The sequence below is a fragment of the Homo sapiens genome, chromosome 12 (genome assembly GCF_000001405.40).
Source record: "Homo sapiens chromosome 12, GRCh38.p14 Primary Assembly".
NCBI classification, from domain to species: Eukaryota; Metazoa; Chordata; class Mammalia; order Primates; family Hominidae; genus Homo; species Homo sapiens.
Genome location: NC_000012.12, coordinates 57551097 through 57565638, shown reverse-complemented (window position 1 = coordinate 57565638; position 14542 = coordinate 57551097). Strand labels below are relative to the sequence as shown.

Here is a 14542-nt window from a genome sequence, read left to right as displayed (position 1 = left end):
AAAAAAAAAAAAAAAAATTAGATTAAATAAGAGAGACGGGTCTTGCTATGTTGGCCAGGCTGATCTTGAACTCCTCAAGTGATCCTCCCACCTCAGCCTTCTAAAGTGTTGGGATTACAGGCATTTCTTCCAGTAAACTTTGATTTGCAAATTAAATTGCATGCACACTGACCAATGACCTTTCAAGACAGTATCTTTTCTTTTCTTCTTTTTTTTTAAAGACAGGTTCTCACTCTGTCGCCCAGGCTGGAGTGCAGTGGCGCAATCTCGGCTCACCGCAACCTCTGCCTCCCAGGTTCAAGAGATTCTCCTGCTTCAGTGTCCCAAATAGCTGGGATTACAAGCATGTGCCACCACGCCCAGTTAATTTTTTGTATTTTTAGTAGAAACGGGGTTTCACTATATTGGCCAGGCTGGTCTTGAACTCCCGGCCTCAAGTGATCCACCCACCTCAGCCTCCCAAAGTGCTGGGATTACAGGTATGAGCCACCATGCCCAGCCAAGACAGTATCTTTTCTGATCCCCTAGACTCTCCCTGGCCCCTAGGCACATCTCATTCCTCCAGGATATCCACCCTCCAACTTCAGGGTCACTGACCTATGCTCCTCCCCCACCAACATTCTCAATACACTGGCCCCACATAGGTGCCCCACACCCACTCTCACCTTGACAAATGGCACCCGGTTCTTGTCCTCGTGCACGGACAGATTTGTCTTGGTCACTGAATCAAAAGAATGCAGGGTAAGCAAGACTAGTACTTCCACCGCCCCCATCTGCACCTTGCAGTCAGCTCAGATGGTGGTTTTCTTCTCTGTGCTAAAGGAAGACTCTCCCTGTGAAGCCTAAACTCCCTGCACGAGCTGAAGGCTCAGTTCCTCCTCCTTCTCCTCCTCAGGGCTCCTGCTCCTCGGCCCCAGATCCTCTCGAACTGTTTATATGTAGTCCTTGGCTGCTAAGCTCATCTCCTGACCTTCTCAGTTTTTGGAAATTCTGGTAAACGGGGCCAAAAGACTTGGGTGCTGTGTGCCCTCTGCATCTCTTGTCAATTGGTACCTAATTCCAAATGCAATGTGAGCTTTCTTTTCTCCACCCTCCTCACACACCCTCATCCACTGGGACAAAACACTCACCATCCAGAAGGTCACGAATTTTGTCCAGGTAAATTTCAAAGTAAGAAACCTGGTTAAGAAGAAAGAAGGAGTGTGAAGTAAAGAGGGCCTATCTTAAATCTAGTTCAGGAATCCCATACTAATGTGACCTGCTCAAACGGTGGTGGGAGGAAAAGAACAGAAGAGAACATCTTGACAAAGAACTCTGGTAACCGGAAAGGGAGTCAAGTTGGGGAGCCCAGGCTCTTCAGTGGGAAGATTTTAGATCTTCCCCTCCCAGTCCCCATCTGAATGCCCAGCTGTCGTGCCCTGGTCACCTTGATGTGGAACTCAAGGTTCTCATCCATGGAGTAGATGTGGTTGAAGATGTCTCGGGCAATTCGAGGAATGATTCCCATCAGCTGAGGGTCGTGCAGCTTTCCCTGGCGAGTGAAGGTATTTGAGAGTGAAGCTGGGGCTCAGGGAGAATGAGACAACTCAGATGTATGCAGGTGAACACCAAGGCAAGAGTCAATAAGAAGAACATCCTAAGTTAGGAGATGGTCACCACCATGTCTGCCTTTTAGAGGAGCAAGGAGATAATTGAGTAGCCCTTTGGACTTCCATTGCTTTTCCCGATCAAAAGAAGACTGGAGTAGTGGAAAGGATGATCCACTGCAGTGGGTTGGAGGGATTCCATTAAACTTCCCCTAATATTGCCCTTCAGTTCATCCTCTGTACTCATCTATCTGCCTCTGGACCAGGCAATCCTTGATTCCTAGACCTTCCCCCACTGAGATTCCCTGATCTTCCATTAACACTCCTAGCCCCTCAACCACCAAAGCCAGAACCCTCACCTCCATGGTATGTGTTTTCCCTGAGGATGTCTGTCCATAAGCAAAAATGGTGCCATTGTAGCCAGCAAGGACATCTGGAAGAGACAGTAGAGAAAGAGTACTGGTGGAGATAGGTCGGGTAGGAAATGGGGTGCTGAGAAGAGACATTCTAAAAAGAAATCTATTACCTTTGACAATCTGCATGGCACATGCATGATAAACTTGCTCTTGAGTCGTGTTTGGGGGGAATACACGGTCAAAAACATATGGCTTCCCCTGGAATGAAAATAAAAGATATCAGACGTCAACAGGCAGGATGTGAGGGAAAAGAAATACCACAACCTCCTTCCAGCAGCTGAGAAAGGCACCCTTTTCTTCAATGCCCTTAATGAACAGAAATGTGGGAGAATGGCCGGGCGTGGTGGCTCACACCTGTAATCCCATCATTTTAAGAGGCTGAGGCAGGCGGATCACGAGGTCAGGAGTTCAAGACCAGCCTGACCAATATGGTGAAACCCCGTCTCTACTAAAAATACAAAAATTAGCCTGGTGTGGTGGCACGTGCCTGTAGTCCCAGCTACTCGGGAGGCAGAGACAGGAGAATCGCTTGAACCCGAGAGGCAGAGGTTGCAGTGAGCCGAGATTGCGCCACTGCACTCCAGCCTGGCGATAGAGCGAGACTCCATCTCAAAAAAAAAAAGAAGAAGAAAAGAAAAGAAATGTGGGAGAATAAGAGAAACTAAAGGTACTGATGCCAGGAGTTGTGTCTGTGGGGTAGAGGAGTGTCGCACAGTGAGATTGTGTTAGGGGATCTTAGTCGTGGTGTGATGATTGAGCACTCCACTACCCCAAACTCCTCCCTGGGAAACCAGATGAAAAAAGACAATAGGGCCACAGGTGATGAAAATTGAAGAACAATTCATTAACACTAAAAAGTATCTCAAGCTAGAAATATCTTCCTCAACAGATCCACGTACCCTGATATGGAAAGATCTTTAGATGTACTAAGTGAAAGATGCAAAGTTAGTGACATATATTTATAGCATGTTCCCTACCATGTAAATGAAATTCAGTCTACACTGAGAGCCTCTGTGGAAACATTAACACAAGCTCTCTCTCTTTGTGAAAGGAATATATGAAATCAGATATGTGGGTCTCCCTTTAAGAACAGAACAAGCTTTAATTAAAGAAGAACTGTGGGTCGGGCACGGTGGCTCAAGCCTGTAATCCCAGCACTTTGGGAGGCCAAGGCAGGCAGATCACCTGAGGTGAGGAGTTCGAGACCAGCCTGGCCAACATGCTGAAACCCCATCTCTACTAAAAATACAAAAATTAGCTGGGCGTGGTGGCAGGCACCTGTAATCCCAGCTACGCCGGAGGCTGAGGCAGGAGAATCGCTTGAACCCAGGAGGCGGAGGTTGCAGTGAGCCAAGATTGCGCCACTGCACTCCAGCCTGGGGGACAAGAGCAAGACTTCGTCTCAAAAAAAAAGAACTGTGAAGCAAATCATTCAGACTTACAAATCCTTGTTTAATTCAGGAATATGTTGTAAATCACATGTGCTGATAAGAATGATAAAGACACAAAATACTTACAACTTAGGAAGCTAACCAATGAATATATTTGATGGCTAGATGCATTAGAGGTAAATCTCTGGGACGAGTAAATGAGACAATGCTTGTTCTCTATCATAGGTGACTGACTTGTCAAATTGTTTTACTACAGAGTCCATCTTTATCCAATCGAAATGTAAACCTCAAGATCTACAGACGCCAGAGTTTGCAGAGTTTGGGAGATATGTTTTAACTAATTAAGGAAAGTTGTAAACCTTGGCTAGAGCTGGAGATGTGGCTCTAGGTATAGCAATAACATTGCATGAATATCTACAGAATTTTTTTTCTAGAAGGAATTATACAAAAGTGTTAACAGTGGTTACTTTGAGGAGAGAAACTGAGAGAAAGGCTTTTATTTTTCATTTTGTATCCTGCATGGTTTACATTTTTAAACTATGTACGAGCATTATATTTTAAAAAGTTTTAATGGCAAAAAAGAAATAATCGTTTATTCTTTTCTTCTTTATATTTCTTTGTATAAAAGAAAACTAATAAATGTTTTTTAATATTAAAACAATTAAATTTGGCTTATAGAAAAAAATCCTACCTAAAATATTTATCCAGTCTCTCTGTGGTGAAAGCCTCTGAAGTCCAAGAAACAGAATCCACAAAGGAAAAGAAGTTAGAAAAGTGCTCTCTGTAAATTACCAACTGATAGAACCTTTCTGGAGGACAATTCTATTAAATATTTAAATGTCCATACTGTTCATAGTCTGCACCAGGATTCCAGTGCTAAGATTTCCTTTTACAAAACAACTGCTGGGCTGGGCACGGTGACTCATGCATGTAATCCCAGCACTTTGGGAGGCTGAGGCAGGCAGATTACTTGAGGTCAGGAGTTTAAGACCAGACTGGGCAACATGGTGAAACCCCATCTCTACAAAAAATACAAAAATTAGCTGGGTGTGGTGGTGCACACCTGTAATTCCAGCTACTCAGGAGGCTGAGATGGGAGAATTACCTGAGCTCAAAAGGCAGAGGTTGCAGTGAGCCAAGATCGGGCCACTGCACTCCAGCCTGGGTGACAGAGAGAGACCCTGTATCAAACAAACAAACAAATAAACAAACAAATAATCAAAAAATCTCTCTATTTTCTTTTCTTTTCTTTTTCTTGAGTCAGGGTCTCATCTGTCATGTAGGCTGGAGTACAGTGGCGAAATCACAGCTCACTGCAGCTGCAACCTCCCAGGCCCAAGCAATCCTCCCAAGTAGCTGGGACCACAGGCACATACCACTATATCTGCCTAATTTTGTTTATTTTTTGTAGAGGCAGAGTCTCACCATGTTGCCTGGGCTGGTCTCAAACTCCTGGGCTCAAGCAATCCACCCACCTCAGCCTCCCAAAGTGCTAGGATTGCAAGCGTGAGCCACCATGCCCCGCCTTAAAAACTCTCATAAATTAGTAACAAAAAGACAAAAACTAAACAGAAAAAGGTGAACAAGAACTAGAAACAAGCAACAGAAGAAGAAATATAAATGTTCAGCAATCATGAAGATGTTCAACATTTTCCAAGAAAAGAAACTGAAATGGTAAAATTTCTTTTCACCTCTCAAACTGGAAAACAAAATTTGCATTGTAATACCCAGTGTAGATGTGGGTTCAAAAAAATGAGAACTTTCATTATTTTCTGGTTGGAGAGTACATCCATATAACAATTCAAAAATGCATAATCAAAAGCCTTAAATTTTACATATCCATTGATCTAGAAATTCTACTTCTAAGAATTGATATCATGGAAATCAAGATTTCGCTACAAGGGTGTTTATCATCACATTGCTTATAATAATGAGAAATTGAAGACGACTTAAAGGAGTAACATTTAGGAGACTGGTTAACCTAAGGAGTGAATTAAATTATAGCATATACATATATTTTATTCCTCACTGTTATTTAAAATAATGCCATAACTGGCTAGGCATGGTGGCTCACGCCTGTAATCTCAGCACTTTGGGAGGCCAAGGCAGGCAGATTACTTGAGGTCAGGAGTTCGAGACTAGCCTGGCCAACATGGTGAAACCATGTCTCTACTAAAAATACAAAAATTAGCTGGGCATAGCGGTGCATGCCTGTAATCTCAGCTACTTGGGAGGCTGAGGCACAAGAATCGCTTGAACCCAGGAGGCAGAGGTTGCAGTGAGCCGAGATCGCGCCACCGCACTCCAGCCTGAGCAGCAAAGTGCAACTCTGTCCCAAAAAAAATAAATAAATAAAATTAAAATATCATAATAGAACATTAATAAATAGAACGTCAATATATCTCAAAAACACGTTGAAAGAATCCAAACACAAAAGAGCACATACTGTATTACTCCCTTCATATGAAGTTCAAGAATGGACAGAACTTATCTGTAGTGCTAGAAGTCAAAACAGCAGCTACCTGCTATTGTGGTAACAACATACAAGTGGTATTTACAGGAAGAGGATATGAAGGAGCTTTCAGGAGTGACAGAAATGTTCTAGATCTTGATCTGTGTAGTGGTTACATGGGTGTCTACATATGTCATAAAATTTATCAAGCTGTTTGCCTAAGATCTGTACACTGTATGTAAATTATATCACTATCATAAATTATAACATCATAAAATGATGTTATAGTGGCTCCTAAATGTTAAAATATATTAATTAATATTAATTAATGCTCGACCTCACTGTTAATAAGCAAAATGCATATTAAAACTATGAAACACCATTTTTACCTATGAAAGTGGCCAAAATAAAATAGACAACGCATTACACTGGTGAGAATGTGAGTAAATAGATATTCACACATACTGCTGAGGGTACATAGAAATTGGAGCCAACTCTGTGAAAGGCAATTTGGAAATAGCCTCACATTTTTAAATGCATATGCTTTATGACCTCCACTTCGAAAAATTTATCCTGTAGACATACTGCACATATGCAAAAAATATTTATACAAGGTCATTCAACTGTTTGTAATAGCAGATGATTAGAACAACCCTTAATGTCCACCAACAGAGGCCTGGTTAAATAATGGCCTATCCCTACAACAAATTATACAGTTGAATGAGATAGCTCATGTACCGTGTAATCCGAGCCCTTTGGGAGGTCAAGTCTGGAGGATCCTTGAGGCCAGGAGTTGGAGACCAGCCTGGGCAACATAGGGAGACCCTGTCTCTACAAAAATTAAAAAAAAATAGCCAGGTGTGGTGGCATGGGCCTTGTGGTCCCAGCTACTCAGCAGGCTGAGGCAGGATGATGGCCTGAGCCTCGAAGGTGAAGGTTGCAGTGAGCCATGATTGCACCACTGCACTCCAGCCTGAGCAACAGAGTGAGACCCTGTCTTGAAAAACAAAACAAAACCAAAAAAGAATGAGATAAATCTTTATGTGCTGATAAGGAAGGGTGTCCAAGACTCTGTTTTGTTTTGGGTTTTTTGTTTGTTTGTTTTGCTTTTTGTTTTTTGAGACAAGAGTCTTGCTCTGTCGCCCAAGCTGGAGTGCAGTGGCTCCATCTCAGCTCACCGCAACCTCTGCCTCCCGGGCTCAAGCAGTTCTCCTGCTTCAGCCTCCAGAGTAGCTGGGATTATAGGCGCCCGCCACCACACCCGGCTAATTTCTGTATTTTTAGTAGAGATGGGGTTTGGCCATGTTGGCCAGGCTGGTCTTGAACTCCTGACCTCAGGTGATCCACCCGCCTTGGCCTCCCAATGCTGAGATTACAGGCGTAAGCCACCGCACCTGGCCTAATTTTTGTATTTTTAGTAGAGACGAGGTTTCACCATGTTGGCCAGGATGGTCTCCATCTCCTGACCTCATGATCCGCCCACCTCAGCCTCCCAAAGTGCTGGGATTACAGGTGTGAGCCACTGCACCCAGCCAGAATTTTTATATTTTTAGTAGAGATGGGGTTTCACCATGTTGGTCAGGCTGGTCTCGAACTCCTGACCTCAAGTGATCCTCCCGCCTCGGCCTCAAAGTGCTTAGATTACAGGCATGAGCCACCACACCCAGGCTGTTTTTGTTTTTAAAGGTGCAGAATGGATGTATAATACGCTACCATTTGTGTAAAAAAAGGTATGCATGTATATATGTATTTGCTTATAAATGTATAGTAGGTTTTTGGAAAGATCCACAAGAAGTTGCCTTCTGAAAAGGGAACTGTGTGGCTGGAAAAGAGGGGTGAGAAGGAGAAGGAAACAATATAAACCTTTTCATATCCTTTGCATTTTGTCACATGTGCAGGTAAGACATTCGAAAGTTAAATTGAAAATTGTAAAATATAGCCAGGCATGGTGGTACATGCCTATAATCCTAGCTACTCAGGAAGCTGAGGTGGGAGGATTGCTTGAACCCGGGAGGCAGAGGTTGCAGTGAGCCAAGATCACACCACTGCACACTCCAGCCTGACTCCATCTCAAAAAAAAAACAGAAAAATTGTAAAATAATAAAGTTATGTAAAAATATTTAACAATGGCAAAATAGTAATAATATTTTGTTTGAGAAAAAAGGTTACAAAACAATATATAGTTTATGATATATAATCTTATTAAAATTAACATATGTATATATGTAGAAAAAACACTGGAAAAATACATCAAATTATTATTAATAACAGTGCTTCTTTGGGGTGGTAAGATATTGGGTGATTTTTAGCTTCTTCGGTGTCCTTTCCTTTGTCTTGAACTTTGTTAACAATTAAAATGTATTAGTGTTGTAATTACATTATTTTTAATATTATTAAAGAAAAATCTACCTTAATTTTGAATTGTAATTAATTTTAAATTGTAATCTACCTCAATGTTTCTCCCACCCAGTGGCCAAGAAACAGAAACAAGCAAAATATGTCTATCTCAAGCCAATGCCTCTCATCTTTTTTTTTTTAATTTCCTTTTTCCTTTATTATGTGACATAAGACTTATTGACTTCGTATCAGCATTTAAGTATGTTAACTTTATATAATAGCATTTGGGTTGGGGATTGGTGCATTTCCGGTTGTACGAAGGATAGTTGTATTATATTAGGCGCATAATTATGACCTTATTATTGTCCTTATTTGAAGATTTGTACGATCTCAGGAGATGTGTATGGGTTCAAGTTGATGAGGGGTGGAATTGTGATGGTTAATACTGAGTGTCAACTTGACTGGACTGAATGATGCAAAGTATTGATCCTGGGTGTGTCTGTGAGGGTGTTGCCAAAGGATATTAACATATGAGTCAGTGGACTGGGAAAGGCAGATCCACCCTTAATCTGGGTGGGCATCATTTAATCAACTGCCAGTGCAGCCAGAATATAAAACAGGCAGAAAAATGTGAAAAGATGAGACTGGCTTTCTCATCTCTTTCCCACCAACAATCTCTATCCATGCTTCATGAAGCCAGGCACCCAGCCAAAGGGGATTAAATGTAACTCTCAAGCCAATCTTGCCCCTCCCCTCCCCCCACAAACACATGGGCACCAACACACCAACCACCCCACCCCAGCCCCCACACACACTCCCTCAAAACATTCCCAGTTACAGGATCTAGAAGGCTCCACAGACGCATTAAAATGGAGAGCGCTCTCCAAATGCTGAAGCCAATTATAGCCCCTTTTCATCAGGAACCCCTTTACATCAGTCTAGGCTGGGAAGAAAGAAAAGAGCAGAGAGGGAAGAAGGAAGAGATTCTCAGATCTGAGTCTAAAAGATACCCAAGAGTGGGCTGGGCGCGGTGGCTCACATCTGTAATCCCAGCACTTTGGGAGGCCGAGGCGGGTGGATCACGAGGTCAGGAGATCGAGACCATCCTGGCTAACACGGTGAAACCCCGTCTCCACTAAAAATACAAAAAATTAGCCGGGCGTGGTGGCAGGCGCCTGTAGTCCCAGCTGCTTGGGAGGCTGAGGCAGAAGAATGGCGTGAACCCGGAAGGCGGAGTTTCCAGTGAGCCGAGATCGCGCCACTGCACTCCAGCCTGGGTGACAGAGCGAGACTCCGTCTGAAAAAAAAAAAAGATACCCAAGAGCTAAAAATTGGTGCATTTAGTAATCTCCTGAGCAGGGAAAGCCATGTGACATGAGATATGATTTCAGGAGTTCTGGGAAGGCCTGCTACCTACTTCTGTATTCTTGGCTGGGCTCTAAAATTCCAAGCCTGGCTCTTTATGTCTTTAAGTTGTTTATTCCTTTTAAAATGTAAATTTGTTTTTTCTTTTTTTTCTTTCTTTCTTTTTCTTTTTTTTTTTTTTTTGAGATAGAGTTTCACTCTTTCGCCCAGGCTGGAGTGCAGCAGCATGATCTTGGCTCACTGCAACCTTCGCCTCCCAGGTTCAAGCGATTCTCCTGCCTCAGCCTTCCGAGTAGCTGGGATTACAGGCGCCCACCACCACGCCCGGCTAATTTTTATATTTTCAGTACAGACAGGGTTTCACCATGTTGGCCATGCTGGTGTCGAACTCCTGACCTTGTTATCCACCCGCCTCTGTCTCCCAAAGTGCTGAGATTATAGGCGTGAGCCACCGTGCCCAGCCAATTTGTTTTTTTAATTTTTATTTATTTATTTATTTTTGAGACGGAGTCTTGCTCTGTTGCCCAGGCTGGAGTGCAGTGGCAAGATCTCGGCTCACTGCAACCTCCGCCTCCCAGGTTCAAGCAATTCTCCTGCATCAGCCTCCTGAGTAGCTGGGACTACAGGCAGCCACCACCATGCTCGGCTAAGTTTTGTACATTTCTTTTAATTTTCTATTGATTATACTCAGGATGAATTAATTTTGCCTGATTTTTTTTTCATTACTGCTCCTTGTACAGCAGGGCTAACCCATGGGCAATGTGCCTAGAGAAAAGTGATCTTTTCATGAAAATAACTAGACCAGTGGTCTTCCACTTTTCCTGCCCATAGACATGGGAAGCACCACCATTATTTACAGCTCTCATAACACACAATACTCTGAATCAGACTGTAGTATGTTGTGGGAGGTTCCTTATCAGAATCTGGGGGAGTATATAGATAGTTAGCAAAAGCCATATCTGATGTTCCTCTCCCCTGCCTCTGCGCAGGCCACTCCATGGGCTATGGATCACAACCTTGATCCAGATTTTCTTGAAGGCAGGGATTCCCTTTAAATCCCCAACACCAAACACAGTCCCTGGCCTATAGGATGCTGATGTAGTTTGGATGTTTGTCCCCTCCAAATCTCATGTTGACATTTGATCCCCATTGTTGGAGGTGGGGCATGGTGGGAAGTGCTTGGCTCAAGGAGGTAAATCCCTGATGAGTGGCTTGGTGCCTTCCCCATGGTAATGAGTGAGTTATCGCTTTATGAGTTCATGTGAGAGCTGGCTGTTAAAAAGAGCTTGGCACCTCTTGCTCTCCCTCTTTTTCCCTCTCTCGCCATGTGATTCCTGCTCCCTCTTTGCCTCCCACCATGACTGGAAGCTTCCTGAGGCCCTCATCAGAGCAGATGCTGGTGCCATGCTTCTTGTACAGCCTGCAGAACTGTTAGCCAAATATATCTCTTTTCTTTATAAATTACCCAGCCTGGGGTATTCCTTTATAGCAACATATAGAGGACTATGACAGATGCTCTTCATAAATATTTGTTGACTAAACATAGATATTGACAAGGAAGGGAGCAAGAAGATACTTGGGATCTGGAGGTTTGCATGAAACAATTAGTAAAAAGGAAAAGTGTTACCCACTTCCCAATTTTGTCAAAGCTAGCTTGTGGGGAGATAGCATATAAAATAGTGATAATATCTAACTCTTATTGAGGGTTTACTGTGTGCCTGCCATGTTACAAAGCAGTTTATATGCATTATCTCATTTAATGTTCACAGTAATCCTAGGACATAGATACTATTATTATTACCACTTTATAGATGACGAAACAGGCTCAAAGAGGTCAGGTAGCTTCCCCACAGTCACATGGCTGAGAAATGGTAGAGCACAGTTTCAAATTCAAGCAATCTGATTCCAGACCCACACTGCAAAGTGATCCAAGAACTGAAATGCCAACACTGTGTCAGAGCCTTATCAAGGCTTTTTCTTCCCCTACTCCATATCCCCCCTCCTCACATTTGGGCATTTTTCCAAGTATTTCCAGACAGAACTAAAGCCTTTCATCACTCCCTTTTTCCAACCTCAATCCCATTTTCAGAAGTATGTAATTCTGCCACCCACCCTCTCTACCTCCAGGTAATCGAAGACTCTGTGAGTTGTTAATGAGAAATAGTCACAGAGTCCCTCCTCCTCTTAGAAATGTCGCCGAAATCCAATCTCTCTCCCACCCCCAGCAGTCTAAGTGCTCCTTATAGCCTTCTCTGAAGGGCCTCTCTTCAGAGTCCCACAGTCCAGGGTTCTTTGTTCTCTTTTAATTTAATCACACTCCGAGCCTCCCTGGTGTCTCCTCTTCCATTTGTGTATCCCAGCACCTTTCTGTACTTTTCTATCATGTGTGCTGACTGAAGCTAATTGGGGCTGGGGGTTTAAGATCAGGGGTCCAAAGATGACCAACCTGTTCAACCCTCAGTAAAGCACTTGGTATAAGCTGAACTTCAAGTGCCAGGCCTGATTTCCATAGTGACACCCGTGGGGATTGTTGCCATGGTAATGCTGGAGAGACACTGGCCACAATGAACGTTACTTCTCGTCTCCATTTTTCTTTATGAGACTCCCCCAAAGCAAAGGACAGCCCTGCTCCCCACTTCAGATATCAAATCCCAGGCCACCCCAAACAATACTGATTCTGCTCCAATAACCCTGCAGGTCCCAACCTAGCTTTGCCAAGTGAGGTACACAATGGTCCTAGTTTCTTGCATTAAGAACCCACTTAACCATTGGGAGACCTGAGGGAGGTAGCTGTGTACACTTGAATGAAGGGGAAAGAGAAAGAGTGTGTGTGTGTATGTATGTGTTTCTTCACTGTCATCCCTCCCACATCTGGTACAGATGCAGCAGTCCAGACAGCAGGCACTGGGACACTGCTGAGAAAGACCAAGGCAGAGGAAGACAGACACTTAAATGGGTCTGGCGAAAAAGTCACACTGGATTCTGAGTGTGCAAAAGCAAAACAAGATGGGCACCACACACAGACGGTGACCCAGACACCCTTCTGCTATGACTCAGGCCATTAACTTTGGCTAAGCCCCATCCCCCAGGTTCCTGGAAGAAGTCAGAGGAGTAGGGGAGAAAAAAGGCACACAGAGCTGTCTCTCCAGCTTATTCTCCTACCCTCTAACAAGCAGAACAAAGCCCACGAACAGAAGGGACTCTGAAGCTCAGCGCTGGCCGCAGTGCTGCAGAGGCGAAGGGGAGAGCAGTCACAGGAAGGAGTAGGGGCTGCATTGGGAAAGATTATCTCTCCCACCTTCACTCTTCCCGCACCTTCCTAGACATCCTGAAGCAGCCTCCCCCATTAATTCCTAAGCCAGCTCCCGACCTGGTGGGCTCCAAAAAGAGCTAGAGGGGAAAAGAGAAAAAGGAGTAGGAATTTCCTTCCCTTGTTGGGACCCTCAAGGGTCTCCTAAAAATCATGTCTCCTGTAGCCCTCATTCCCTAAATGATGAATGAATATTAAGTCTGAAAAAGCAAACTCCAAGGATGTTGCCTAAGACAAAATGGCCCCCCCGTAAGCATTTATCTTCAAGTGAGAGATTGACAGGGAGGGCTAGGGTGAGGGAAGATACGAGCAAGACAAAGGTACAGCCCTACAGATATCAGGCAAAACAGACAAGGAAGATCCAGCTGTGGAGCTGAGATGGAATCTGAATTGGCAGGGGGCCTGGGGCTTCTATTCATCTTTCCTCCTTGCCCACCTCCCACTGTGTGTCTCTCCTGTTTAGCTGGGCTAACAACAGATCGACACCACACCCCTCTTACCAACATCACCCCCTGCCCCATCCCACTATACTAGGATGGCCCAGAGAGCCTAAAGGAGTTGGTTCAGTCTTACTGGAAAAACCTCCCAGAGCAAGGAAATTGGGCCTAAAAGTTTTGCCCCCATCATCACCCTCCTCCTGTTTCTCAGCCTTTATGTCTCAGGGGGATCTGAAGCTCCAACTCTCACAACTAATGCTGGCTATCCAGGACACTCTGAGAGGGGTCCTCCAGAGTTGATCCAGGAGTTGTTTTGTGGTTGTTTTGTTTTGTTTTGTTTTGTTTTTAGCCCAGCCAGACTGAACAGACTGCAGGGCCAGCGAGGTCCCTGAAGCAAAAAGAAACAGAGGCCCTCTCCATGTGGCAAATACATACACAGAGAGAGAGAGAGAGAGAGAGAGAGAGAGAGAGACCAAAAGCATCCATTTGAGTTAACAGTGTGGGTAAGGGTGCAAGGTGGTGACAGACTGGGGCCCTTGGGGACTGGTAAGCAGGTCTCCCCCGAAGCATGTTTATTCAAAGTCCCATTCTCACTGACTCAGAAGGCCCAGGCTTCCTCCCCTTCTTTCCTTCATTCCTTTAACAAGCCTGTGTCCAGGTGCTCTGTGCCAAGCACTGTGGATAAAGATACATAAGAAGCACCTCTGACCTTGACTGCCCTCGTACATGCCCCTCCCTCCTCAAGCTAGTTTTTGTTTCCTGGCCCAGCACCCCTCAAGCCCTACAGGACTCGACCCCAGATCTTTTCTCCCCACACACAGCCTGAGGTCCCTACCAACCTCAGGGGGAGTGGGCAAGGCCTAGAATTTCCCTTTGGGCCATTACAGATAAAGGTGCAGAACAGAAACCTGGGTAGGCAATGTGATAGAAGAGATGGGAGGTTTGCAGTCACAGATTTAGGTTCAGATCCATGGATGAATAGCATGACCTTGAGAAAGTTATTCAAGTTCTTTGGGCCTCAATTTCTGCATCTGTAAAATGGAAATATTGATACTACTTCTGAATGTTGTTTTGGGGGTTAAATAATATACGTAGAGTAACAGGCCCACTGTTAATATTAGTTCCCTTAAGATATCCTCCTTGGGTAGGGCTGTCATGATGAGGTAGAGCTGGATGGCTACTTTCTATTGGATCCTCAAGAGAAAGGATGAATAAGCAGGTACTGACTAGGATCTCAGGGTTTGGGCA

The 14542-nt window shown here is 44.2% G+C and overlaps 1 protein-coding gene across 2 annotated transcripts in view, besides 2 other annotated features; it reads right to left on the bottom strand.

The window, feature by feature from the left end:
• KIF5A (kinesin family member 5A) overlaps window positions 1-14542 on the bottom strand; it is a 36590-nt gene that overhangs the window by 20995 nt on the left and 1053 nt on the right. The window contains exons 2-6 of one of the 2 annotated variants that reach the window (NM_004984.4): window positions 2113-2200; window positions 1946-2019; window positions 1427-1531; window positions 1131-1179; window positions 666-721 (exon numbers count right to left, since the gene is read on the bottom strand). In NM_004984.4, coding sequence (NP_004975.2) covers window positions 666-721; window positions 1131-1179; window positions 1427-1531; window positions 1946-2019; window positions 2113-2200 — 372 coding nt within the window. The remainder of the gene's footprint in view (window positions 1-665; window positions 722-1130; window positions 1180-1426; window positions 1532-1945; window positions 2020-2112; window positions 2201-14542) is intronic. The other variant, NM_001354705.2, reaches the window with a different exon arrangement.
• Window positions 2350-2567: a silencer, noted in NCBI's record as "fragment chr12:57956855-57957072 (GRCh37/hg19 assembly coordinates)". NCBI's record gives its function as "represses an EF-1alpha promoter that drives an FKBP-Casp9 reporter gene in an ReSE screen in phorbol 12-myristate 13-acetate-treated (for megakaryocytic differentiation) K562 erythroleukemia cells {active_cell/tissue: K562(+PMA)}" and the evidence as "EXISTENCE:reporter gene assay evidence [ECO:0000049][PMID:32094911]".
• Window positions 3261-3427: a silencer, noted in NCBI's record as "fragment chr12:57955995-57956161 (GRCh37/hg19 assembly coordinates)". NCBI's record gives its function as "represses an EF-1alpha promoter that drives an FKBP-Casp9 reporter gene in an ReSE screen in K562 erythroleukemia cells {active_cell/tissue: K562}" and the evidence as "EXISTENCE:reporter gene assay evidence [ECO:0000049][PMID:32094911]".